The sequence below is a fragment of the Homo sapiens genome, chromosome 16 (genome assembly GCF_000001405.40).
Source record: "Homo sapiens chromosome 16, GRCh38.p14 Primary Assembly".
NCBI lineage: Eukaryota > Metazoa > Chordata > Mammalia > Primates > Hominidae > Homo > Homo sapiens.
In genome coordinates this window covers 54,604,817-54,630,609 of record NC_000016.10, presented here as the reverse complement: position 1 = coordinate 54,630,609, position 25,793 = coordinate 54,604,817, and the positions used below count along the sequence as shown (strand labels likewise).

General features: G+C 40.9%; 2 annotated features.

Annotated features, from left to right (window-relative positions):
- Positions 5,445 to 5,691: a silencer, noted in NCBI's record as "fragment chr16:54658831-54659077 (GRCh37/hg19 assembly coordinates)". NCBI's record gives its function as "represses an EF-1alpha promoter that drives an FKBP-Casp9 reporter gene in an ReSE screen in HepG2 liver carcinoma cells {active_cell/tissue: HepG2}" and the evidence as "EXISTENCE:reporter gene assay evidence [ECO:0000049][PMID:32094911]".
- Positions 12,640 to 13,924: an enhancer, noted in NCBI's record as "VISTA enhancer hs37". NCBI's record gives its function as "enhancer in: forebrain[5/5]" and the evidence as "EXISTENCE:transgenic organism evidence [ECO:0001131][PMID:17130149]".

Genomic DNA, 25,793 nt, shown 5'->3' with positions numbered 1-25,793 from the left:
AAAGTTGAAATGAGATCACACAAAGTAATACTGCTTATCACAGTGGCTGGCACATAGAAAGGATTCCATTCACGTTAGTTATGATTATGACTATTTCATGAAGCAATCTTGTGAGGTAGTTAAAACAGTGATTACTTTTATTTCATAGGCGAGAGATCAGGATCTGGAAACATACTAGCAAACATGTTAGATCCGAAGAAATGTAACCCATGCAGATGATGGGGGTGGCCAGCAGCCTGTGACTCAGAACTGAGTTGCTGGCGTCATCACACATGGGAAGACTGTGGCAGGCTCAATGGGGCTGCCATCTTGAACAAGCCTTCCCATCTTTCTGGATTACTTTTATACCCACTCTGGATCTAGACCCAACACAGGAATGTGAAGTCAAAGTTGGGCTCCCTTTTGTGGCTTGGGGAGATGACAGTTGGCCATTGGTTACCCCGACCTCAGTTCATCCCTCTAGTAGGGGAATTACACCCAGGCAGATGAGGTCTCCACAGAACCAACTGTAGACAGATCTTAGGTGCTCCCTTCCCTGCCTCCAGCCTGCCCCCGAAACCTGAAGGCCATAGATTTCTTTACCAATCTTGAAAGGCAAGAATTGAGTCCTCCTTCCCGCAATCAAGCTGGAAGAAGATATTTTTGGAGGCACATATGAGTCATTCAGATGACAGATGATAATGATATTGATGAAGATGACAATGAGGATGAGGAGAAGGAGGAGAAAGAGTAGGAAGCCTACCACATATTTTGCTTTTGTATACCAAACACCATGTGGACATTTATGTACATTCTCTGTCCTCTTCAGAGCTCTTGAGAACTCTGTTAAGGGGACAGTATTATCTCCATCTTACAGTCCCAGTAGGGTTGGAAAAACCATAAATAAGTGGGCTCAGGGAAAGCCTGGTTGGGGGAAAAAGTAGGACTCAGGATATTCCATTTTTATTTGAGTATTTCTGTGTCCCAAATTCTCGTCCTTGTTTATATTACAAAATGAATTTTCTTCGACAGGATCAACCATGGACTGTGCAAAGTAGTGCTATGTGGCTTCAAACACCCAGGGCTCCAGGACACAAACCAATTACTGATTAACTTAAAGCTCCATTTCTGGAGTCCCCATCCCTTCTAAGGAGATCTTCAAGTGCAGTTCTGGCCACAAGGCCAGTGCCTGGGGAGTCAGGTGATAGCTTCAGCTCCACGTCTTGGTGCTTTGGATTAAGGGAAGGAGATACACTGCTTCCATTCCAAGGCTGAGATCGGACCATACACTTTTTTCTCTTGATTTCCAGAATGCGTGGGAACGGCTAAGGTTACCAAACATACCTCTCTTGATGGCACAGAAATCTCTCTCTCTCTCTTTTTTTTTAATGCCAAATTCTACCCTTTGAAAAATGCAGAAGCCCATTAAAGATTAAGACTACAAACAAGCTTAAAACACATCTTAACTGCATTCACAAAGGTCGCAGGTGTAGGCAGGTCAAAGTGATATCTTGTTCTCCTAAATATTTCAACAGATAAACAAACTTTTGATTGCGTTATCTGCTCGAAAAAATGACTTTGAACTTTCCGCCAGCACCGCCTACTTGGGTTTACTCAAACCCGCAGAGGCCCAGCCGACCGATAAAGAACCTTGAGTGGTCGCCTGATGGCTGGGGCCTTTCATCTCACCTGGGCTGTGTACACGAGCCGTTTGCTTAGCTTGGCTCTGCTATCCTGAGGACCTTTTAAAAATCCTCCCGTTTATTAGGCTCTAACACCCAATCTGTAAATAAACCAGGAGAAAATGTAGATTTCAGCAGCAGCCTGGAGTGTGGTTCACTTTCAGGCATGCCAGTTCCTCCATCTCGCCTCATTATTTCTTTCTCGCTCTCTGCATCTCCTCTTTCTTCCTCTATCCTCTTTCAATTTCTCCTCCCTTTATCTTGCTTTCCTTCCCTGCTTCCCTTCTTTCCTTCTGCCATTTCCAGATAATAAAAAGAAAATCAATTGGCTCTATTTTTTATGTAGACATCTCAAGTTCATGGATCAAGAAAGAGTACAGCATGGTGCCAGAGAACACAGATACAGAGCCAGATGGCGGGGTTTGAATTCTGGTGGTGTGGCTCCTAGCTGTGTGACCCTAGGCCATCTAAATAACCTCTCTGTGCCTCAGTTTTCTCATCAGTAAAAAGGGAGATAATAATAGCACCCACCCCACAAATTTGTTGTGAGAATTAAATGAAATATATATGTAAAGGACTTAGAGCAGAGCTTGGCACGCGGTACCCATTAAGTCCTGGCCAGCACTATTATTATTATTTGATTATTAACATGCAGGAAGCTTTGTGGGTTGTTTGGCTGGAATACCAGTGGTCTCTGAAAGAGCTATTCTCCACTGTGTGGCCTTGGACAAATGCCTCCATGACCAGGACAAGGCCCTCTGAAGTGTGGATTTCCTACCATTGTGCCTGGCAGCCCTCATTCCCTTGAGGACAAAGAAGAGAAGACAGTGGGTGCTACTACGCTTCACTCCCAGGTGCCAGGCTGACAGTGCTGCCTGGCACAGTGTCTCCTTTGCACTTCAATCCCCTAGCATTCAAAGGATGGCAGAGCCTATCTGGTGGCAACATTTCAAATGTAGAGATATGCTGTGATTAGGCTGGTCATATCGAGCCCAGTGCAGAGGCTTGCACATGGGAGGTTTTTGTGCTCAGGGACACCTCACTGAAAGGGAATGCAGCTGCCTCCTGGCCATGCCATATCCCTGGGGAAAGAGCACCGGAACCCATGCAACTACTCAACCACTTGGCTGTGGCCGGCAGGAAATAGGCCCCTGAGGTCTTCCTCCCTTCCTGTTCTGAGCCCACCATGGGGCGTTCCAGCAGGCCCAGGACAGTTTGGATGGATTTTGTCTTTCCCCTGAGGCCAGTTTTGGGACTCTGCTTCCCCTCACCATCTGTTGTGCTAGAGGAAAGCCCCCTGCCTGTTTCTCAGGGAGCCAGTGTCAGCAGAAGTGGCTTCCCCAGGATGCCAGGGGACAGAAGAGAGAGCACCCTCTCCAGACTCTTTGGTGCCCTTTCTTCTCTAGGAATTGCCTCAAATGGAACTGGAAGCGCTGGCCGCCATCTTTCCTTCTCTCAGGCCCCACAGTCACTGTTGCTGGAAACGACATTAAGACACCCTAAAGAGGTATCAGGCACATAGTAGGCACTCCATAAACATTTGTTGAATGAATGAGTGAATGAATGAGCAAGAGAGTCAAAGAAAAACATCAAGAGAGAGGAGAAACGGAAACCAGGGTGAGCTTTGCAATGTTGAATAGCAGATGTAACCTGAGTCTTCAACATAAAACCCAGTTCTGCTGCCTTCTGGCTGTGTGGCCATCAGCAAGGTATTCTACCGCTCTGAGTCTTCATTTCTTCACCTGTGAAAAAGAAATGACAATACTTAACCATGCAGTGTTTGTTGTCAGGATTAAAGGTAACGAAAGTAGAAGACGTTGCGTAGAAGACATGGCTGTGGTTGTCTGCCAGCACAGGTGTCACTGCTGTGATTGTTTCTCTGCTATCAGATATGGGGAAAGTAAAAAAAAAAAAAAAAAAAAAAAAAAAAAGTAGGAATCCCTGAGACCTTTTGAATACAAGACCCATGGAGAAATACCGCTTATAAGAGATTACCTCCCTCCAAGCCCCCAGATTGTCCCGTCACTTATTTTTTTATTTTTAATTTTATTGAGACAGGGTCTCACTCTAGTCCAGGCTGGAGTGCAGTGGAGCGGTCACGGCTCACTGTAGCCTCGACCTCCTGGGCTTAGGTGATCCTTATGCCTCAAGTAGCTGGGACCACAGGCTTATGCCACCATGCCGGGCTAATTTTTTTTTTTTTTTTTTTTTTTTTGAGACGGAGTCTCGCTCTGTCGCCCAGGCTGGAGTGCAGTGGCGCGATCTCGGCTCACTGCAAGCTCCTCCTGCCGGGTTCACGCCATTCTCCTGCCTCAGCCTCCCGAGTAGCTGGGACTACAGGCGCCCGCTACCACGCCCGGCTAATTTTTTGTATTTTTAGTAGAGACGGGGTTTCACCGTGTTAGCCAGGATGGTCTCGATCTCCTGACCTCGTGATCCGCCCGCCTCAGCCTCCCAAAGTGCTGGGATTACAGGCGTGAGCCACCGCGCCCGGCCTAATTTTTAAAATTATATGTAGAGACAAGGTCTCGATTTGTTTCCCAGGCTGGTCTCAAACTTCTGGGCTCAAGCTATCTACCTGCCTTGGCCTCCCAAAGTGCTGGGACTACAGGTGTGAGCCACCACACCCAGCCTGTCCCCTAACTTCGTTTGTACCCACATCCATCAAATGATAAGCAGGACCAGGCAACTAAGTAGGCAGCCATATTAGCTTGAGGGAGGTGACAATTTCGTTTTCTATGTAAGAATGTGTTTGCTTTGAGCAGCATAATTGCAGTCTGAAGTTCTGTAATTCTTACAATTTGATGAGTTTCTAGTTTGCCTCTCCCATGGAAGGAAGTTGCTAGTTGTATTTTTTTTTTTTTTTGAGACAGAGTTTTGCTCTTGCTGCCCAGGCTGGACTGCGATGGTGCGATCCCGGCTCACTGCAACCTCTGTCTCCGGGTTCAAGTGATACTCCTGCCTCAGCCCCCCAAGTAGCTGGGATTATAGGCTCCTGCCACCACGCCTGGCTAATTTTGTATTTTTAGTAGAGATGGGGTTTCACCATGTTGGTCAGGCTGGTCTCGAACTACTGACCTCAAGTGATCCACCCGCCTTGGCCTCCCAAAGCTCTGGGATTACAGGCATGAACCACCATGCCTGGTGCTAGGTGTCTTAATAGTAAATTCCCAGTAAGGAGCTGAGAAAGATAGATGTGTGAGTTCTAAAAAGAGAGGGCAGGCAGGCAAGATTGTCTAAATAGATGCACTTTGATTGATGCAGTGTGATGATTCAATTCACCAGTGCCCTTTGTTGAATACTTATCGTATGCCAGGCACTGCAGTGAGTACTCTGCATTTTTAACCAGCTTATAAGGTAGATGCTAAATATTACCTACCTTCTACAGAGGAGGAAACTGAGACACCAAGGAGTTAAGTCCCTTGCTTTGGATTACACAACTAACTAGGGTAGATCCAGAGTTCAAACACTGGTCTTTAGGACCCAATGGCTTGTTTGAAATACACTGTCTGCTAAGGGCCCACACCTTTCTAGGGACCAGCCACAAATGGTAGGCGATGATGGATATGCCCACATACTTCAAAATATTTCTTTAGGGCTGGACACAGTGGTTCATGCCTGTCATTCCAGCTACATGGGAGGCTGAGGCAGGAGGATCACTTGAGCCCAGGAATAAGGAGGCTGCAGTGAGCCATGATCACACCATTGCACTTTAGTCTGGGTGACAGAGTAAGAACCTGTCTCAGAAAAAAAATTAGTTGCCTGCATTTAAACGTTATGAGATTTGGCCGGGTGCAGTGACTCACGCCTATAATCCCAGCACTTTGGGAGGCAGAAGCAGGTTGACCAGCCTGGCCAACATGGTGAAACCCTGTCTCTACTAAAAATTAGCTGGGTATGGTGGCGTGTGCCTATGATTCCAGCTACTAGGGTGACTGACGAAGGAGAATCACTTGAACCTGGGAGGCAGAGGTTGCAGTGAGCCGAGATTGCACCACTGCCTTCCAGCCTGGCTGACAGAGCAAGACCCCATCTCAATAAATAAATAAATAATAAATAAAAGTATGGAGATTTTCCACTGAATTCTGGACTTGAGGCTTATCATGGCAAATCAGAAGCCCTGGAAATATACCTTATGAATTGCCCGCCAGCAATGACTGCCAAGAATGGACTAGAAGCTGCCCCCCTTAGGAAAGATATGCAAGCTCCAACTAGCCCAGACCCCACCATTCCCTATTGCCCATTGTCTGCCAGCTTCATTCATTTTCTTTCCTTCCTGCTCCCTGTGCATGTCTGAGTTCAAGATCCCTGCCCTAGCCTGTATGAGGCCCTACCTTCAGGGGTACCTAGAGGAATCAATAACAATATTAACTTGGCCTTTACAGCGTGGCAAGACCCAAATTGGAGGTCGTGGTGAGTAGGGGCAGGGAGGCACTGGACTATGCTATCAGCAACATAGGCTGTTCCAACAAGCAGATGTCTTTCCTTGAGGGGGTGCCATCTTCCCCTCCTCCCTGCACCCTGGTGCCTGCCACAAGACTCAAAAATCTGACAGCAGCTTGTTATCCTACTTCCCTCTGCCAAAAGCCCTCTGTGGCTCCTATTGAACCCATTTTATTTATTTCACTTGATCTCCAAAGAGTCCAGACTCATTACAGGCCTTGTTAAATGCTGCCCTCCCACAACTCTATGGAGAGAGTAGCCAACCTGATCAATAGAACCAACCTTTAATTTTTCTTATGCAGCCATGGCTATTCGTGTGGGTAAAGGGGAGAAGAAAGGGCGGTGGTGGTTGGAGGGGGAGTCTTAAAACAGCATAGTGATGATTTCCCATTGCCTTGAGGAGTAAATGATGTTGCTTCAATTTTGGCTTGAGTTAAACTTGATGCAAACATTGCTGTAAATGGGTCAGGCAGTCAAGAAAGCCAACAGTTGGCCGTGTTTGTGCTAACTCTTGTCTTTTTGTTTTTGCCAGAGGAAAAAAAGAATTCTAATTTCTATCAGTCTAAATTGAGTTGGGGAGCATTATCAGCTGGAAGGACCCTTCTGATTTGACAGGCTCCACTGTATGATGATTAATTACTTCTCAGCTTCATTGGACTTTTCTAATTTCCTTTTGCCACTGGCTGGAGGCACCGCGCGATAAGTACTGCTCTTATTATTTTGTGCAAAGGAAAATGTCTATTACGCTCTGTCATACAAGCGAGCAGAATGAAAAGACAGCTGATCAGGAAACTCGCAAGCTCCTCTATCTTTATTTGGTCTCCCCTGGCCTCCCTTCATCACTTGTTCTAAGACAGAGGTGGCCACACACGGTTTCCTGTCAAAATAAGAAGATAAAATCATAATCTCTATCAGAGTACTTGACATTTTGAAATTTGTATAATGATTTCATGGGATTTAATCCTCCAGCTCACCACAAATCCTCCTCCAAATGCAAATGCAACAAAATATTATACTGAAAAATGCAGGGCCATTCCTCTCCATCAGCCCATTTATTTGGTCATAAATTAAACTTGGGGGGTTGCCTTATAGTATATAATACTCAAATGAGAACAGCAACAACTATTATTGTTATTAATTATTATGAGGACCATAATTGAATTTGGAAAGAGAACGTTTCTTTTTCTGACTGGATCCGAGACATAAATTATAGGTGTCGGTTTGTAAGAGCATATCCCAGAAGCACATGGCTGAGGGGCTGGCTGGCTTCCTACGATGATCACAGACTTTACCATAATGGACAATTGAGAGTCTGCAGAAGCTGTTTGTTTTCCTGGAGAGGAGAGAGATGAAAACATATAAGGGATCCCACTCCTGCGGCCCCTTCTGCCTGCTAATCCTCAGGCCGGCACTGATATTGCGTGTTGGTTCAGGTACTCTCAGGGACGTGTTTACTGGGACGGGAAAAGCTCCATTGAGCAAACCATGGCTGCGTTTCTCTATGTCCCCGCTTGCTGAAGAAAATGCTGATTTTACAGAGAGTCTTACTTCAAAGCAACAGAGTAGGGAGGAGAAAGATAAGACGGCAGAAGGCTGGGCTGGAAGCCCAAAACCCTGGGTTCCCATCACAGTGCTGTGCTAGCTTCTGAATTCTACCTGTCTGCTGTTGCTGTTTTGTTTGTTTATCTTTGGGGGGGATGAAGAAGAGGCTGGGAACTACTGAAGGAGAAAAGAGGCATTTAGTTTATCTTTCCAATAATAATAATATTAACTAGCATTTAGTGAATACCTACTATCTGCCAGGCACTGTGCTAAGTGACTTATGCGCATTACCTCATCTGATCCTTGCAGCCCATTTGATGTTGGTGCTGTTATGAACCCATTTTACAGACAAGAATACTTGGGCTTCAATGTTAAATATGTCATCAGGCAGGGATCATGCAGTCTGTAAATGACAGTCAGTATTTGACACCAGGACTGTTGTTGTCCCAGCCTCTCTGCTCTACCTTTTCATATTTTCTTTCCCTCCTTCCTTCCTTCCTTCCTTCCTTCCTTCCTTCCTTCCTTCCTTCCTTCCATCCTCCCTCCCTCCCTCCCTTCCTTCCTTTCTCCCTTCTTTTTTTCCTTCTTTCCTTCTTTCTTTTTTGAGATAGGGTCTTACTCTATCCCCTCCAAGCAGGAGTGCAGTGGCACTGTCGCTACTCACAGCAGCCTCAGACTCCCAAGCTCAAGCAATCCTCCCACCTCAGCCCCCTGAGTAGCCGGGACTACAGGCACACACCACCATGCCCGGCTAATCCTTTTTATTATCTATAGAGACAGGATCTCCCTATGTTTTCCAGACTGGTCTCGAACTCCTGGGCTCAAGCCATTCTCCCATCTCGGCCTCCCAAATTGCTGGGATTACGGGTGTGAGCCACTGTGTCTGGCCTCATATTTCTACCTCATTTTTTTTTCTTTTGCAAAAAATCCTGATGATAATGTATGTGGTGAAGAACGCAGGCTGGGTGAACAAAGTCTGGTTTTTTTCATTCACATACTCTGTTCATTATCCTCTTGCTTATGTCTCTATTTGTTACACAAGCATTTATTGAGCACCTGTTATCTGTCAGATACTGAACTAGGCTCTAGGATTCCTCAGATAAAATTCCCAGGGTCCTTGCTTTCCAGAAGCTCAGACTAGGATCAACAAATAAATGACTAAAACATTAAAACCCAGAGCAAGAAATGCTATAATCCCAATACATAAGAGAGACTAATTTCACCTGAAGAAATGGGGGAGGTCTCCAAGAGCTGCTGACATTTGACCTGAGCCTGGGAGGACATTTCAGCAGAGAGAACAGTCTGACCAAACAGTAAGAAGTCAGTCAGGTGAGGCCAGTTTGTGGGGTACTTGGGTGACTGAGGAGATACAGCCACCAGAAACTGAGGCTAGGAAAGTAGTTGTGGTCAAACCCTGAGGCATATGAATGAGTTTGACTCTAATTACATCTCTGAAATGGACTGTTTGTGACCTCAAGCAAGTCTCTTTCCATTTATGGGCCTCAGTTTCCCCATCTGTGCAATGCAGTCATTAGCCTTGACCAAAGATTGAAAACCAATGGCCCATAGGCTGGATCTGGTCCACAGATGTGCTTCCTCTCATCTGCATATTACTTTCTTAAGCAGAGAGCCACTATTTAAGAGCTTACATCAAAAATCCAGATTTCTAGCTTCTTTTCAAAATAAAGTTGTGACAGATGGCACCTACATTCCTACCCAGCCAGAGGTGGCTGGAGCTAAGAAGCAGACTCGTGGTTTATATGCATTGAGTGCTTTTCAGTTCTCCACAATCTTCACCACTCCTTACCACATACCCCACACCAGGGCCAACTATAAATGGTCATTTATCCTTATGTTTGCATTGCTGATTAGCGTTTTTTCTAAGCATAGAGAAAATACACCTCTGTAATCACAATGCAACAAAAGTGAGAAAAAAATCTAGATGAAGAGAGCACCACCTTTTAAGAAAAATAGTAGAGCATATTTCTGTGTTGAATTAAAGAATATTTATGTGTATTTTATATAAATAAAAGGGTACCTGTGTTGAAAGAATTCAGCTTCATTTATTCAGTGCTCCTGCTGGTATCTGAGTTTTTGCCCTAGGCTTTGTGTGTTGATAAAACTTCACTCTGGCTTCTGAGCAGGCCTATTATGGAAACTCAGATTCAGGGCTCTGCCAGTGACACAGAGGACCGGGGGAAAAGCAGGTTTCTAGAGCCTGAGACCACCTCCAAAGATGCCCCTTTGTGCATGAACCCTCCTGTCTGGCTTTCTCTGAGAGGGGTTGTATGAAGTATCCTCGAATGGGGAAGCTCCAGCTGCTGGCTAGTCTTTCTGGAAGAAGGAGTCTATCACCCATTAGTACATGATGACCTGCCTCACGATTATCCAGGAAGAAGGACAGGGCTAGGTCCTTGGTATGGCATAAATGAGCCATCCTGTGTCACAAGTGGTCTGATGAGGTGAGTCCGGGTAAATTGTGGCTTAGATTTACCAATCAGAACACTTCCCACTGTGATAGATTCTTCACCTTCATGCCCTTTGCTATGTAACTTGGCAGTGCCCATCCTTTGATTCTGGGCTTGGTCGTGTGACTTGCTTTGGTCAACAAGATGTTGGCAAACATCCAGCAAGTGAAATGTGCTCATACATTTCCACTTCCTCTCTTGCCCCCCTGCCTTTTCCATAAGAAGACACTCAGGCCAACCTGATGGAAGATGAGTTTTATGGCACAGAGCTGAGTTGCTCCAGTTGTCCAAGCCAAGGCCATCCTAGACCAACAGCCATGATCCTGAAGCATGGGAGAGTGCCAGCCAAGATCAGCAGAGTTCTCTAGCCAAACCTGCCAACCAAGATCAGCAAGAGCCCCCCTGACAAACTGCGCTTGACCACAGACTCATGAGTTAGGCCAGCCACGACCAGAATCCCATAGTCAAACTGCAGATTCAGGAGCTAAAGACATGCTTATTGCTTAAGCCACTGAGTTTTGGAGTGGGTCATAACATAGAATTATTGTGACAAGAGACAAGTCATATACCTGCCCCCAATGCTTATTTCTTCCACAACAGCACAATCCCTCTCCCCCATGTCAGCAGCTCCTACCTCTTGTGTCATCTTATTCTTAGAAGAAATGGTTCAAAACTCAAAGTGTTTGTTGTCTTTCAGACATGGGTGTGGGACTTAACTCTCCTAATTCCCAACTGTGTGACCTTTCATAATCACTTCACTGCTTGAAGCCTCAGTTTTCTCATCTGTTTAATGGGGATGATGATAATACTGCAAACTGCAAACAGTACCTGCTCCCTAGCACAATTACGATGGTTAAAAGAAAAAGGCAGGTAGAACATTCAGCACAGTGCCTGCCACATAGTAAATGTTCAAGAAATGTCAACTAGTATCACTGTCATCCCTTCTCCTTTCCTCTTTCTATTCATTCCTCAAACTCTTGGTAGAGTTTTGTCCCTCTTCCACACAGCAGGGAGTACCCATGAAACTCTTTCAACCTGCATTATGCTCTATGATGACAGAGCAGATACTTGCAGAATTTCCCTCTGGCAAGAACCATAGACAACACCTAGTTACTACAAGCCCAGAATCCCCACTGCCATCCTCATATCCTGTAGGTCAGGGGTCCCCTGTCCCCAGGCTGTGAACCACTACTGGTCTGTGGTCTGTTAGGAACTGGGCCGCACAGCAGGAGGTGAACAGCAGGTGAGTGAGGATTACCACGTGAGCTCCACCACCTGTCTGATCAGCAGCTGCATCAGATTCTCATAGGAGTCCAAACCCTATTGGGAACTCCACATGCAAGGGATCTAGGTTGCATGCTCCTTATGAGAATCTAATGCCTGATGATCTGAGGTGGAATAGTTTCATCCTGAAGCCGTCATTCCCTGCCTTCTGCCCACCCCAGTCCATGGAAAAATTGTCTTCCATAAAACCAGTCCTTTGTGCCAAAAAGGTTGGGGACCACTGCTGTAGGTCATAGGCAACCCACATAAGCATACTCAGACATACTAGACAGGACTTTACACCTAGAAAGCATAATCAACGACACATTCCAGAAGACAAGGTTTGTCCCCCAGAGGGGCCAATAGTGCAGAAAAATGAGATCTCTGTGTAGTGTGACTACCAGTGTTTCCCCAAGTGTGTACTAAGAGAATGGTTCTACTTGGTACCCCCAAATAAATCAGTAAACAAACAAATAAATCAATAAATAGGATAATCTATGGACAAATACATTTGATAAATTCTGGGCCAAACAGACTTTGTTGTGGCAGGGCTTTTCCAAAACTTGCTAGGATAATGTGTATCATTTCTCTCCAGCAAGGAGGTAGAGAATGTTACATTTTTGAAAGTACTTTGACCACAAAGACTTTATCTTTGGAGCAGTGTTTTATATGACTAGTAGGTCATGGCATATCGTTTTGGGAAAAACAATTTGGACACCAAGTTGGTAGTAAGGCTGAAACTGCAGATGAAGTATCCCCCTAGCAGAGAACTTCTCTGCCTCATGGAGGGCAGCAGGGGTGGAATCATTGCTCTCTTTCTTATTGTCCTTGGCTCTTTTGTTTGAGTCAGTCCTTACTCCCCTGTTTGTTTTGCCACCAATAAGACCTAAAGGTTTGGCTTTCCTTGGTCAACCCTTTTTTTCTATTCTTAGAGTGAACTGTGCAGTCAGATGTGGACAATTCCCTATTTCTCCCTTGTACCGTGAATGCACAAGAAGACAGACTTATCTTCTTTGTGCCAGAATAAAGCAGGGGTGCTAGAAATATTATTACCTCTTCATCATCACCCCAATCTGCTGAGGTTTAAATAGAATTTTGTCAGGGTCACTGACAGGTTTTTTTGATTAAAAAAAAATAAACAGACATACAAGATACCATTACATTTCATCTTGGGACAATTGTTCTCTAAGCAAAGTGTGTTATTTTCCTGTAGGTAATCCCTTACCAGATTGTGGATTTTCCATGTTCAACATCAGTCACTACAACCAAAAAGCAACGAACTGTGTTATTGACAATGTTTTAATTACAATACATAAAAGACACACGGCAGCAAAGACAAGGAAGTTATCTGGCTGTAGTGGCATTCATATGTTTAAGAAAACTCAGTGGTTGCGGTTCCAGCATTAAGCATTATATGTTTTCTCATAATGCTAAAAAATTCTAGTAGCATGTGTGGGATTGTTTTAAAGGAAATAATATCATTCATAGAAATGATTGTCTTTGGCAGTACAATAAATGAAATTAGGAGCTCTTAGAATGGTGGGCTTGCAACAATGTTGGTGTGAAATATAATCATTGAATTGCTTTGTTCTTTTTTCCAATAAAAGGTGGAAGCTATTGAGTGTTGTTATTAGGCAAGCTAAGCTGGGCTTCTGTACAGCATAGTTTTGTGTGTCTGAACCAGCAGAAGCTTTTGAAGTCCCTCGATTCCTTCTGCTTGCTAATTCTTCCATTTGTTTGATTTTTGGTACAAAGAAAATGAAAGAATATGATGAGATTATGGCATTTTAAGTCAATATTTATTAAAAAATCAATCTAGATGAAAATCTGCCCATCCCTCTAATTAGATGAGGCAACTTGAGGTTGATTTTTAATTGCAAAAGTAATTACACGGAGCAGATAGCCAGTGACATTTGATTATGTAGGTGATTGATTAAAAAGCCGAGCTCACCGAGCAGATTGTCAGCCAGGGAATCCAGACAAAAGAGCAAATTAAAAAAGTTGTCCTGTTAGTAATCACAAAATTCAAGGATGAAATTACAGAGCCAAACACCTCCATTGCCCCCTCATCCTCATCACTCGATCCACATGCATTCACTCCAACGCCTGATAAAGAAATGGATTAGTGTGAAATTAATTGAAGGGGGAAAAAAAACGGGAACCGAATTCATGGCTGAGAATAGGGCTTTTAACAAGTTGAAACAAATTTCTCCAGTTTTATAATACAACTTTTCTTTTTTGGCAAGTGAGATGTTTTCATAAAAGATCTTTTCAGAATGTTTGATGATATTAATTTATCTGTTAAGAACGAGGGAGGGGAAATATCTCACTTTCTAGCAGAATAGGATATTAAGATGTCTTGCTTGTTACTCATTTCGTTATAACATGAAAGCTTGGAGAACAGACTGTATATTTGGCAAGAGAATCCTTGGATTTGTAAACAGCCTTAGCTGACATCTTGGGCGGAATAATGAAGAGGCAACTCAGTCATTCAGAGGAACCCCAGTGATGTCCACTCGAGGATATTGTGGATAAAGGTGGAAGGGGTGTGTACCGGAGCAGTCCCCAAGAGGACACTGGATCTGACAGGGAGACTTAATCTCCCCATGCTTCTCTTGCCTTGTCTGTAAAAATAGTGATAACAGCAACTATTCCAGGTTCCCTAAGGTCCCAGAAAAGCAAAAAGGAAACTGAGGCAGGACCACCCAGTACAGCTCTGGCTGCGTAGAGAGTTCTATGCCGCCTCCCGGTGACCGTTCCTCAGTGCTGATATGGGCAGGATATAACTAACTAGTCAGGAGATAAAGTCCAAATCACTGCTCACATCTATCCCTCTGCTTTGTCAGCAGGTGCCATCCAGGCAGAGCACTGGACGGGCGGGATGTGTTCCTTACGATCCTCCAGGGCAGCTGATTTCAGCTATTTCCAGGTTCAGAGCCTATGTGTGCCACCAGGAGATGCATATTTCAGTAGACAGATGCTTGGATTCCCAGCCTCTGATACTAGTTAATGCAGTCCCCTCCTTGTATTTGGTATTTCACTTTTTAAAATATCCATTTATTCCTCCAACACATACTTTTGGTAAGGTCATTTGAGAGTGTGGTTAAGAGTTCCAGCTCTTAGAAAGCAATTTAATGTTATCCATTCCAAGTGGAGTTACACATACCTTCTGCCCTGGCAATTCTTCTAGGTGTGAATCTTAGAAAAACATCTGCAACATACACTAGGAGACATATGCAAGAAGGTTCATGGCAACATCTTTTTTATAATTGCCCCCATTTGGAAACAAACTAAATGGCCTGAAGAATGGGTAAATAAATTAAGGTATATCACTCAACGGCAAACTAAATATGCAACAACATATCACAATCCAACATTAAGCCAAAGCAGCAAGGCACAAAATAATATGTGCTAAATGATTTCATGCATACAGCTCAAAATCAAAGAAAGCAAATTTTATTGTTTAAGAATCTGTGGGGTGGTGGTGGGGCACGGTGGCTTATGCCTGTAATCCCAGCACTTTGGGAGGCCGAGGCAGGTGGATCACGAGGTCAGGAGATCGAGACCATCCTGGCTAACACAGTGAAACCCCGTCTCTACTAAAAATACAAAAAATTAGCTGGGTGTGGTGGCGGGCACCTGTAGTCCCAGCTACTTGGGAGGCCGAGGCAGGAGAATGGCGTGAACCTGGGAGGCGGAGCTTGCAGTGAGCGGAGATCGCACCACAGCACTCCAGCCTGGGCAACAGAGCAAGACTCTGTCTCAAAAAAAAAAAAAAAAAAAAAAAAAAAAAAGAACCTGTGGGTGGTACAAGGAGAGGATTATAATCAAGAAGGAAGAACAGAGGGTCCCTGGGGTATTTGCAATGCCCTATTTTTTTTGTCTTCAGTGGTGGTTATCAAGTTTTTGTCCAATTGTACATCTATGCTTTATGTTCTTTTCTGGATGTAGGTTATATTTCACATACATGTGCACGGGCACAGGAGGCTTTGGGGCCGGACTGCCTTGGTTTAAATAATTTTTTCATATTTCCTATTTTAACTTCTCTTTGCCTCAGTTTTCTTAAATTTATAAACTGGGCTTGAAAATAGCATCTTCCCCATACAATCATTGAGAAAACTGTTAGTTAGTTCACACAAAATAGCTTTGAACTGGCTCTGCAACATGATAAAGGTTTAGAAAATGTTAGCCATCATCATCGTATTAGGTCATTCTTGCATTGCTATAAAGAAATACCTGAGACTGGGTAATTTATAAAGAAAAGAGGTTTAATTGACTCAAAGTTCTGCAGGGTTTACAGGAAGCATGGTGCTGGCATCTGTCTAGCTTCCGGGGAGGCCTAAGGAAACTTACAATCATGGCAGACAGCAAAGAAGGAGCAGGCAAGTCACATGGTGGAAGCAGGAGCAAGAAGGGGGGATGCCACACACTTTTCAACCACCACATCTCAGAGCAGGAGCTCATTTATCACGCAGGAGATGGCCCAAGCCATTCATGAGACATCTACCCCCATGATTCAAAACCTCCCACTAGGCCCCACCTCCAACATTAGGGATTACATTGTAACATGAGATTTGAGTGGAAACAAATATCCAAACTATATCGATACCATCATCTTCTTCATCATCATTATTACCTAAGTGCCAGGTGTTTTGCTACATTTGAGCTCCAGAGAGATGAATAAAATGCAGTCCTTGCCTTACACATGTACACACACACACAAACACACATTTGTGAATAGATAGATATGAATTTTAAAATATAGCAGAAGAATGCACAACAAATTCCTGACAGTGGCAGGGGGAAGTGAACTGCAGATATGATACCTCAACTTCAATGTTTTATTTCTTGTATTGGTAAAAAAGAATATCTCAATTTCATTTGTTACATTTTGTTTTTTTGCTTAGAAAATGACTTGTAGTCTATATAGCAAAATGTTAACAAACATAAATTCTAGTGCTTGGGAACATGGATATTGGCGATCATTATGTGGTTTTCTCTTTTAAAAAATTCTGGAAATAAAAGAGAAAATATTGCATATGAAAAACATTCTATTAAGGATATATGCTGGGTTTTGTGGAAGCCAAAGAAGGAAGAACCTGATTTTCCTGAGGTGAGCATGGAAGATTCTCGGGTGACATCTGAGTGGAATTTTAGAGATTAGTAGGAGTTCACCAGGTGAACAGAGAGGATGAGGCACTCAAATGGAATAGAATATAGCACTGTGAGTGGATTGCAGACACTTGCAAATCCAATTCATGGAGGCCCCCTTCTGGGCCTCAATATTTCCATTTGTAAAATGAGTCCTTTTTCCTTCACTCACCTAACAGGCTCCAGAAAATATGGAGATTCCTTATGGCAAAAGTAGCTAAAGTCCTGGGCTTTTGACATAGCCTGCCCGTGTTGAAGTCCAGTTCTATTACTCATTGGCTTGAGACACAATCTTCCTGTGCTTCTCTTGCCTTGCCTGTAAAAATAGTGCTAATGGTACTTCAGTATTTACCTCATAAGACTTTTGTGAGGATTCAGTGAGTTGACAATCTTAAAATAGGTAGATCAGTGTCTGGCAAATGTTAAAACCCCAAATAATAATAATAAATTAATAAATCCACAAATACATATAATTATTTAAATTATATGAATATAAATAACTATTTAAATTATATAAATATAAATAATTAAATTATATAGATATTATAATTATTTAAATTATAGAGATATAATTATTTAAATTACATAAATATAAATAATTATAAAAATATAATTATATAAATATTAGAAACAATTATATAATTTACATAATTATCAAAATGTTATAATTATAAATATATATTATAAAGAATTCTATAAATGTATAAATAAATCCTAATGATTATTCAATAAATCCCCAATTTATTTATTAAATAAATAATTATAAATAAATAAAGCTTCCCATTATTATTATTATTATTATTATTATTATTATTATTATTATTATGGGAGGATATCTTACTTATTTATTTCCAGGTAGCTGTGACATTGATTCATACCTCTTTCGAAAAGTTGTGGCCCCTTTGTCTCCTGCATCAACAGTATCACAGGATCATAGGTCCCGCCATGTTGGTGGAGGGAGTCCTCACAGCCTGCGGCCTGGCCGATTCAGGCCACCTGGTTAATGTGCTTCCAGATTTACCAGGTAGCCCCCCGTCATAGCAGTTTCCTCCCCCTTTCATAGCTTTTTTTTTTGCTGGGATTTCATTAATTTTTACCTATCTACGTTTTCCCTTTTTATCTTTACTGTCAGCCAATTCTCTACAGGTCTCAGGCAAAACTCCCCCAAATCCATGCTCATTAACTGGCCCTCTCGAGGGGTCGTCCGTGAGACTACACGAAGGATACAGTTGCTGCCTTTTCTCTTTAGCAGAGCTTTTGTGCAGAGCTGTTCTGTCTCTGCCAGGCACTGTTAGATAAACCTGACCTAGCAGGGGGCCTCTGTCCTCAAATGGGTAGCAGTTATTGGTGAGGCTGCGGGCTGAAGTCCTAGGATGTGTCCAGGGCCAAGCAGGGAAGCGCTTCTCCTGACTCACTCTGGAATTAGACGTTGTCGGAGAGGTGGGGAAGAGCTTGGCTTGGGGTTTGATCCTAGGCTCTCAGAGCTGGGAGGAAACACAGCAAGACCTGGTCGAGAACTCTTATGGCACAGATGAGGAAACTGAGGCCCAGAGAAGGCAGAGTTAGGAGTCCAGCCAAGCTTCTTGATTTCCAACCCATTCCTATCCCTGCCCCATGAGTTAGCTCCTCCCCACACCAGCCTCTATAGGCAGGGCAAATTGATGGCAAAAAAAAATCGCCCCAATGTTTTACACCTCCTTGAACACATATGGTTCACAATGGGACTGCAGTTTTTTTACATAAAGAGGTAGAGTCTGTTCCCTCATCCGAATGGGTGTTAATTTTCTCAGGCTGCCATAACAAAGTTCCACAGGCTGAGTTCTTTTCTTGCAGTTCTGGAGGCTGGAAGTCCTGGAGTCTAGCAGTTCTTGGAGGCCGGAAGATCAAGGCGTTGGTGGGATGAGTTTTTTTCTGAGGCCTCTGTCTTTGGATCGTAGATGGCTGTCTTTTCCCTGTGTCTTCACGTGTTCTTCCTTCTGTACCAGTCTGTGTCCTAATTTCCTCTTCTTCTAAGGACACCAGTCGGATTGGATTAGGGTCCACCCTAATGACCTCATTTTACATTAATCACCTCTTTAAAGAGACTTTCCCCAAAGACAGTCACATTCTGAGGTACTAGGGGGTTAGGACTTCAACGCTGTAAACCTGGGCTAAATTTGTAACTGGCTTTGGCCAATAGACTGCGGCAGAAATGAGGGTGCCAACTCCCAGCCTAGGCCTCACAAAGCTTGACATGCATCTGTTCTCAGACCCTGCCAATGCCACCAGCAGTGAACCAGCCTAGGCTAGCCCACTGCCCCCAAGAAGCAGAGGAGAAGTCGTCCTAAGTGGGCCAATAGCCAGCCAACCTCCAAAAGGTGAGGAACACAGCCAAGATCCATGAAACGGACGCTCACGTGACTTGAATGCTGACCACAGACACCTGAGTGAGTCCAGCCCAGCCCAACCCAGAAGAACCACCCATCCAAACAGCAGACCCACAAGCTAAATAAACGTTTTCAAGTTTAACCCACTGGGTTTTGTGTGTGTTTGTTATGTGACATATTGTAGTAAATAACTGATACACTAGTTCAAATTAATTTGTGGCTGCTTAGCACCCATCTCTCTTACAATAATTTTAAAAATAATAGTAATTTTCTAGTTATCTATGATGTATAACACACCACCCTAGGCCTTAAAACGTCAGTGATCATTTTATTATCAGTACCAAGGGTTGATGAGACTCCGCCAGGTGGTCCTCACGCAGGGTATCTCATGCAGTTGCAGAGAGACATTGGAGGCTGGAATCATCTGAAGGCTGGCTCACTCCCGTGGCCAGCCTTGAGCTGGGAACCCTGGACCACATGGGAACTGGAACAGCTGGGAAGCCTCTCTCTAAGTGGCCTCTCTAAGTCGGTATCTCTCTGTAAGTAGCCTCTACAGGTAGTCTCTCCAGCAAGGTGGCTTAAGACTAGGAGGTTCTCATCTGGGAGTTCATGGCACCAAAGGGGCACATCCAAAGAAAGATGGACAGTTAGAAGCTGCAGCAGAAAAAAAATCAGAATATTCTTTTTTTAAAAAAAAATCATACAGTAAAACTGATCTTTTTAGTGTACATTTTATGAAATTTAACACAGGTATAGATTCATGTAAGCATCACCACAATCAGGACACAGAACAGTTTCCTCACCCCAAAAACTTCCTCCTGCTACCTCCTGATAGTCACACCCTCCTCCACTCATAACCCCCAGTGTCCGCTGGTTTGTTTTCTATCACCACAGCTTTGTCCCCTTGAGAATGTTATATTAATAAATCACACACCATGTGAACTTACAAGGCTGGCTTCTTTCACTCAGCATGATGCCTTTGAAGTTCATCCAAGTTGCTGTGTGTGTCAATAGTCCATCCCTTGATTTTGTTGAGTACTATTCCATTGTATGGCTAAACCACAGTTGGTTTATGCATTTACCCACTGAAGGAAATTTGCATTGTTTTCAGCTTTTGGCAATTATGCGTAGAAGTGCTTTCAACATTTGTGTACAGGTTTTAATGCGAAGGTAAGTTTTAATTTCCCTGTGGTAAATATACAAAAATAGAAAACGTGTATGTTTAACTTTAGAAGAATCTGCCAATATGTTTTACAGAGTGTCTGGAACATTTTGCATTTTCACTAGCAATGGATCAGTGATTCAGTTACCCCACATCCTTGTCAGCACTTGGTTTTGTCAATATTTTTTATTTTAACCACTTAATAGTAACATAGGAGTATTTCATCATGATTTTAATTTGCATTCCCCTAGTAGCTAGTAATGAGCATCTTTTTATGTTCTTATTTGCCATCTGTATATCTCTTTGGTGAAATGTGTGTTCACGTCTTTTACGCATTTACTAATTGCATTACATGTTTTCTTACTGCGGAGTTTTAAGAGTTGTCTGTATATTCTGACTACAAGTCCTTTGTTAGGTATATGACTTGTGGGTATTTTCTCCCAGTCTGTAGGTTGTCTTTTTATTCTCTTGGCAGTGCTTTTTGCAAATCGAAAGTTTTTAATTTTGAAGTTCCATTTATCAATTTTTTTCTTTTATGAATTATGTTTTTGGTGTCCTGTCTAAAAATTCTTTGCCTTGTTGCACATTACAAAAATTTCCTCTTAAAAGTTTTGTGGTTTTATGCTTTACGTTTTAGGTCTATGATCCATTTTGAGTTAATTTTTTTAATAAGGTGTGAGGATTAGGTAAAAGTTCATTTTGCACATATGGATGTTCAATTGTACTAACACCATTGTTGAAAAACTGTTCTTTTTCCATTAAAATACTTTTTCACATGTATAAAAAAAATTAACAGACCCATATTTGTGTGAGTGTATTTCTGAACTTTCTGTTGTGTTCTGTTAATCTGTGTGTTTATCCTATTGCCTATATCAGACTGTCTTGACTATAGAAAGTTTATAGCAAGACTTAAAATCAAGTAGCCTGATTGCTTGAATACCATTTTTTTATTTGAAAAGTGTTTTAGCTATTCTAGGGGTTTTTCTTTTTTGCTTTCTGTATACATTTTAGAATCAGCTTGTCTATATTAATAAAAATTTTGATAGGATTTTGGTTGGAATCATTTTATCTCTAAAGATAAGTTTAGGAAGAAATGGCATCTTTCCCATGTGGAATCTTCTAATTCTTACAATTCTTTTTTATTTACTTCAGCAGCATTTTGTAGGTTTCAGCATATGGAACCTATACATGATTTGTGGGGTTTATACTTAAGTATTGCATCTGTGAGTGGAAGAGAGAAAGTATATTATACATTTTTTAAAAAATTGAGTTTGCAATTGTCTGTTGTTAGGTCTGATAATTGAATATCAAAATACAATTATTTTTGTGTTGACCTCATATCCTATAACCTTGCTAAATTTACATTAGTTCTAGGAGATTTTGTAGATTTTGTGGGTGTGGGGGTGCTTTCTATGCAGAAAATTATATAGCTTGAAAACAGAGATTGCTTTATGTCTGTATTCCCTGTCTATGATTTTCATTTCTTTTTCTTGCCTTATTCCATCAGCTAAGACTTTCAGTATGATGTTGAATAGGAATAGTTAGAGTGGACATCTTGCTTTGTTCCCCATCTTGGGGTAGGGGACATTTAGTTTTTCTCCATTAAATATTATGCTAGATGTAGGTTTTCTATAGAAGCCCTTTATCTGATTAAGAAAGTGTCTTTCTCTTCCTAGTTTGTCAAAAGCTTTCATCATAAATATATGTTAAATTTTGTCAAATGATTTTTCTACTTCAATTGATATAATGTGGTTTTTCTTCTTTAGCCTGTTAATATGGTGAAATACATTGAATAAAACCCACTTAGTTATGGCATACTATTCTTTTAACATATACATACTGATGAGTTAAGAATCTTTGTTTTTGTTCATGAGGGATACTGGTCCATAGTTTTCTTGTAATCCATCTGCTTTTTCTATCAGGGTAATTCAAGGTGATGCTGGTTTCCACATTTAGTTAAGAAATGTTCTTTTATATTTTGAAAGAAATTGTGAATAATTAGTGTTACACCTTCTTTAAATATTTTGTAAAAATTATCAGTGAAACTCTCTGGGTCTGGAGATTTTTTTCCCGAAAAGTTTTTAGCTATGAATTTTATTTCTTTCAAGGTTATATACCTACTCAGTTATATAGTACTATTTTGTGTGATTTTTGGTAGTTTGTGGTTTACAAGGAATTAGTCCATATTTACTTAAGTTGCTTAATTTATGTGTATAGATTTATTTATAGTATTTCATATATTAATTTAATATCTATGGGAGCTTCAGTGGTATCTTCTTTTTCATTTCTTATAGTGATAACTTGTGTACTCTATTTTTGTCGGTCTTGATTTAACAATTTTTTTTTATTTTAAAGACAAGATCTTAGGCCCAGGCTAAAGTGCTCACTGTAACCTTGAACTCTTGGACTCAAGCAATCCTCCAGCCTCAGCCTCTTGAGTAGCTAGGTCTACAGGTGCACACCACAACACCAGGATGGTTTTTTTATTTTTATTTTTTATACAGACAGAATCCAAAATCTCGCTATGTTGCCCAGGCTGGTCACAAACTTCTAGGCTTAAGTGATACTCCTCCCTTGACCTTCCAAAGTATTGGGATTACAGGGGTAAGCCACTCTGCCTAGCCTAGTTTAACAATTTTTGATATTTCCAAAGGATCAGCTTTTGGTTTCATTGATTTTCTCTATCATTTTTCTGTTTTCTGTTTCATTGATTCCTGTTCTTTATTATTTTCTTTTTCTGCTTGTTTTTGTTTTGTTCTTTTTTTCTAGTTTCTTAAAATACAATCTTAGATTCTTGATTTAAGATCTTTCTTCTTTTCTAATATAATCATTTAATGAAATAAATTTATCCCTAAACACAGCTTTTTCTGCATCCTACAAATTTTGATTAATGTCTTTTCACTTCTGCTCAGTTTAAAATATTTTCTAATTTCCCTTGAGACTTTTTTTTGACTCATGGATTACTTAGGACTTTATTGTTTAATTACAGATTGTTTAGGTATTTTCCTATTGTCTTTCTATTACTAATTTCTAGTTTAATTTTACTACGGTCTGAGAACATATTTTATATTTTAATTTATTTTGTATTTGGTAAGACTTGTTTTATGAGCAAAAATACAGTTTATCTTGATAAATGTTTCATGTGAACTTGTAACAATATACATTCTGTTATTGGTGGGTAGAATAATCTATAAATTTAGATCCAGGTGATTGATGATGTTCTTTAGTTCACCTATATCCTTTATGTTTTGCTGTCTACTGTATATTCCCGAGATATTCCCGAGAGATTAGTGTTAAAATTTCAACTGTAATTGTGGATTTGTCTTTTTCTTCTTTCAGTTCTAATAGTTTTTGTTTCATGTATTCTGAAGCTGTGTTGTCTCATACATATACACTTAGGATCATTATATCTACTTAGTGATGGATCCTTTGATCATTACCTAATATCTCTCTTTATTTCTAGTAATTTTTATATCTCTGGAGTATACTTTGCTGATATTAATATAGCCATTTCAGCTTTCTTTTCATTCATGTTTGCATGACAGATTCTGTTCTACCTTTTTACTTTTAACTTTCCTATATGATTATCTTTGAAGTGAGTTTCTTGTAGACAGCATGTACTTGGGTCATACCTTTTTATCCATTCCGACATTCTCTTTTTTAACCCATTTATGCATGAGGTTGTAATTTTTTGAATTTGAAAAATCCGACCTTCATGATGGCCTTGAGCAGTAGGATATAAATAACTCCCACATGCTTATGGTTCCAATAATGGAACACTAGACATAAATGGGTAATTGTTGACTTTAGACCATGTGCACTTAATGTAATTATTGATGTTTGAATTTAGGTGTAACATTTTATTATTTGTTTTTTGTGTTTGCTATTTGGGATTTTTTCCCTTTTGTTTTCACTTTTTCTGCCCTCTTTTGCATTGTTTAAGTATATTTAGTATCTCATTTTTTCTATTTTTTTTTTTTGCTGTATCTCTTTATTTGTTGCTACAGAGATTATAATATTCATACTTAACTTTTACAGTCTACATAGAATCTATAGTTTGGCACTTCAGGTGGAAAGTAGCAAGAAACCTTATCACTTTATAGGTCCTTTTACCTACCTTCCTTTATGTTATCATTGTTTTATATGACATATCTATATGCATTGAAAACTCCACCAGACAATGTTATGATTTTTGCTTTCAATCATTAAACATATTTTAAAGAACTTAAGAGGAGAATAGTAGTCTATTATGTTAGCCCAGATATTTACCATTTATGTTGTTCTTCATTTTTCATGTTCCAGATTTCCTTCTGCTATCATTTTCTTTAATAATTATTTTAGAGCAGGACTGCTGGCAATAAATTCTTCTACTTTTCCTTCATCTAAAAATCTATTTATGTCCTCCTTATTTGTGAAGAATATATTTACTCATTATAGAATTCTGGGTTGGTATTTCTTTTCTTTTAGCACTTTAAAAATGCCACCTCATTTCTTCCCTGGCCTCCATGGTTTCTGATAAGAAATTTGCAACCATTCAAATTGTTTGTTCCCTCTAGGTAATGTATCATTTTAATCTGTCTCATTTAAAGATTTTTTCTTTGATCTAGTTTTCATCAGTTTAATTATGATTTTGGGGGGTTTACCTGTTAGAGATTGAGAGCATCTTGAATTTGTAGGTTCATGTCTTTCATCCTCACTGACTCTTTCCCAGGTAATCTCATTAAACTTTTGAGCCCATCTAGTGAGCTTTTTATTTCAGTTATTACATTTCTTAATTCTAAAATTTCTATTTGACTTTTTATTTTATTTTTTTTTTGCTGAGCTTTGTTATATTTTCATTTATTTCAAGAACATTCATGATTACTTATTGGAGCATTTGTATTATTGCTACTTTGTCAGATCGTTTCAACATCTTTGTTATTTCAGTGTTTGCATTTGTTGATTGTCTGTTCTCATGCAAGTTGAGATTTTCCTGGCCCTTTATATGCCAAGTAATTTTGGATACTATCATGGACAGGTTTGAATATTACATTATGAAACACTAGGTTTTATGTAAGTCCTGTGGAGAAGGTTGACATTTTCGTTTTAGCAGGCAATTGATCTGTCTCTGTTCAGGCTGTAAGTTCCAACATGTCTTTTGTGAACTAGGGTTTTAATTCCAGTTCAGTTTTTAAAGACTTCACAATAATATTGAATCTGGTCTTCATGTACATTACCCAGTGGCCAGTCTGCCACTTGGGCAGTGGTTTGTAAGTCAGTACAACTCTCAACATCTTTGGTATATTAATTTGGATCAGATCCTCACATATTCAGCTTGGAGGTGAGTCCAGGAATTCACAAACAACTATATGGAGTTGCTTTCTGGAACTCGTCTCTCTTCTCTATCTCCCTAGTATTTTCCAGTACACTGTGGAGTCCCTTTTCAGTTCTCTATCCAAGAAGCTGGGACTCCAGTTACCCTAATCTGCCATATACTTCCATAACAGTATCCAGGGCAAAGTGGTGGAAGAACCAGGGGAAAAAATAAACTCACCCTCAGTTCAGTGATATTTTACATTTTGCTCTTCTTGAATCTGCCTGCTACTCTTACTTCTCAGAGTCCTCAAATAGCTGCCCCCTGTATTGTGTCCAAGTTTGATAGCTACATTTAGTGGGAGACATAAGGAAAAGTGTGCTTACTCCATCTTATCTGGAACTGGAACCAATCTGTATCATGTCTTATAACCTAGCCTTGCTA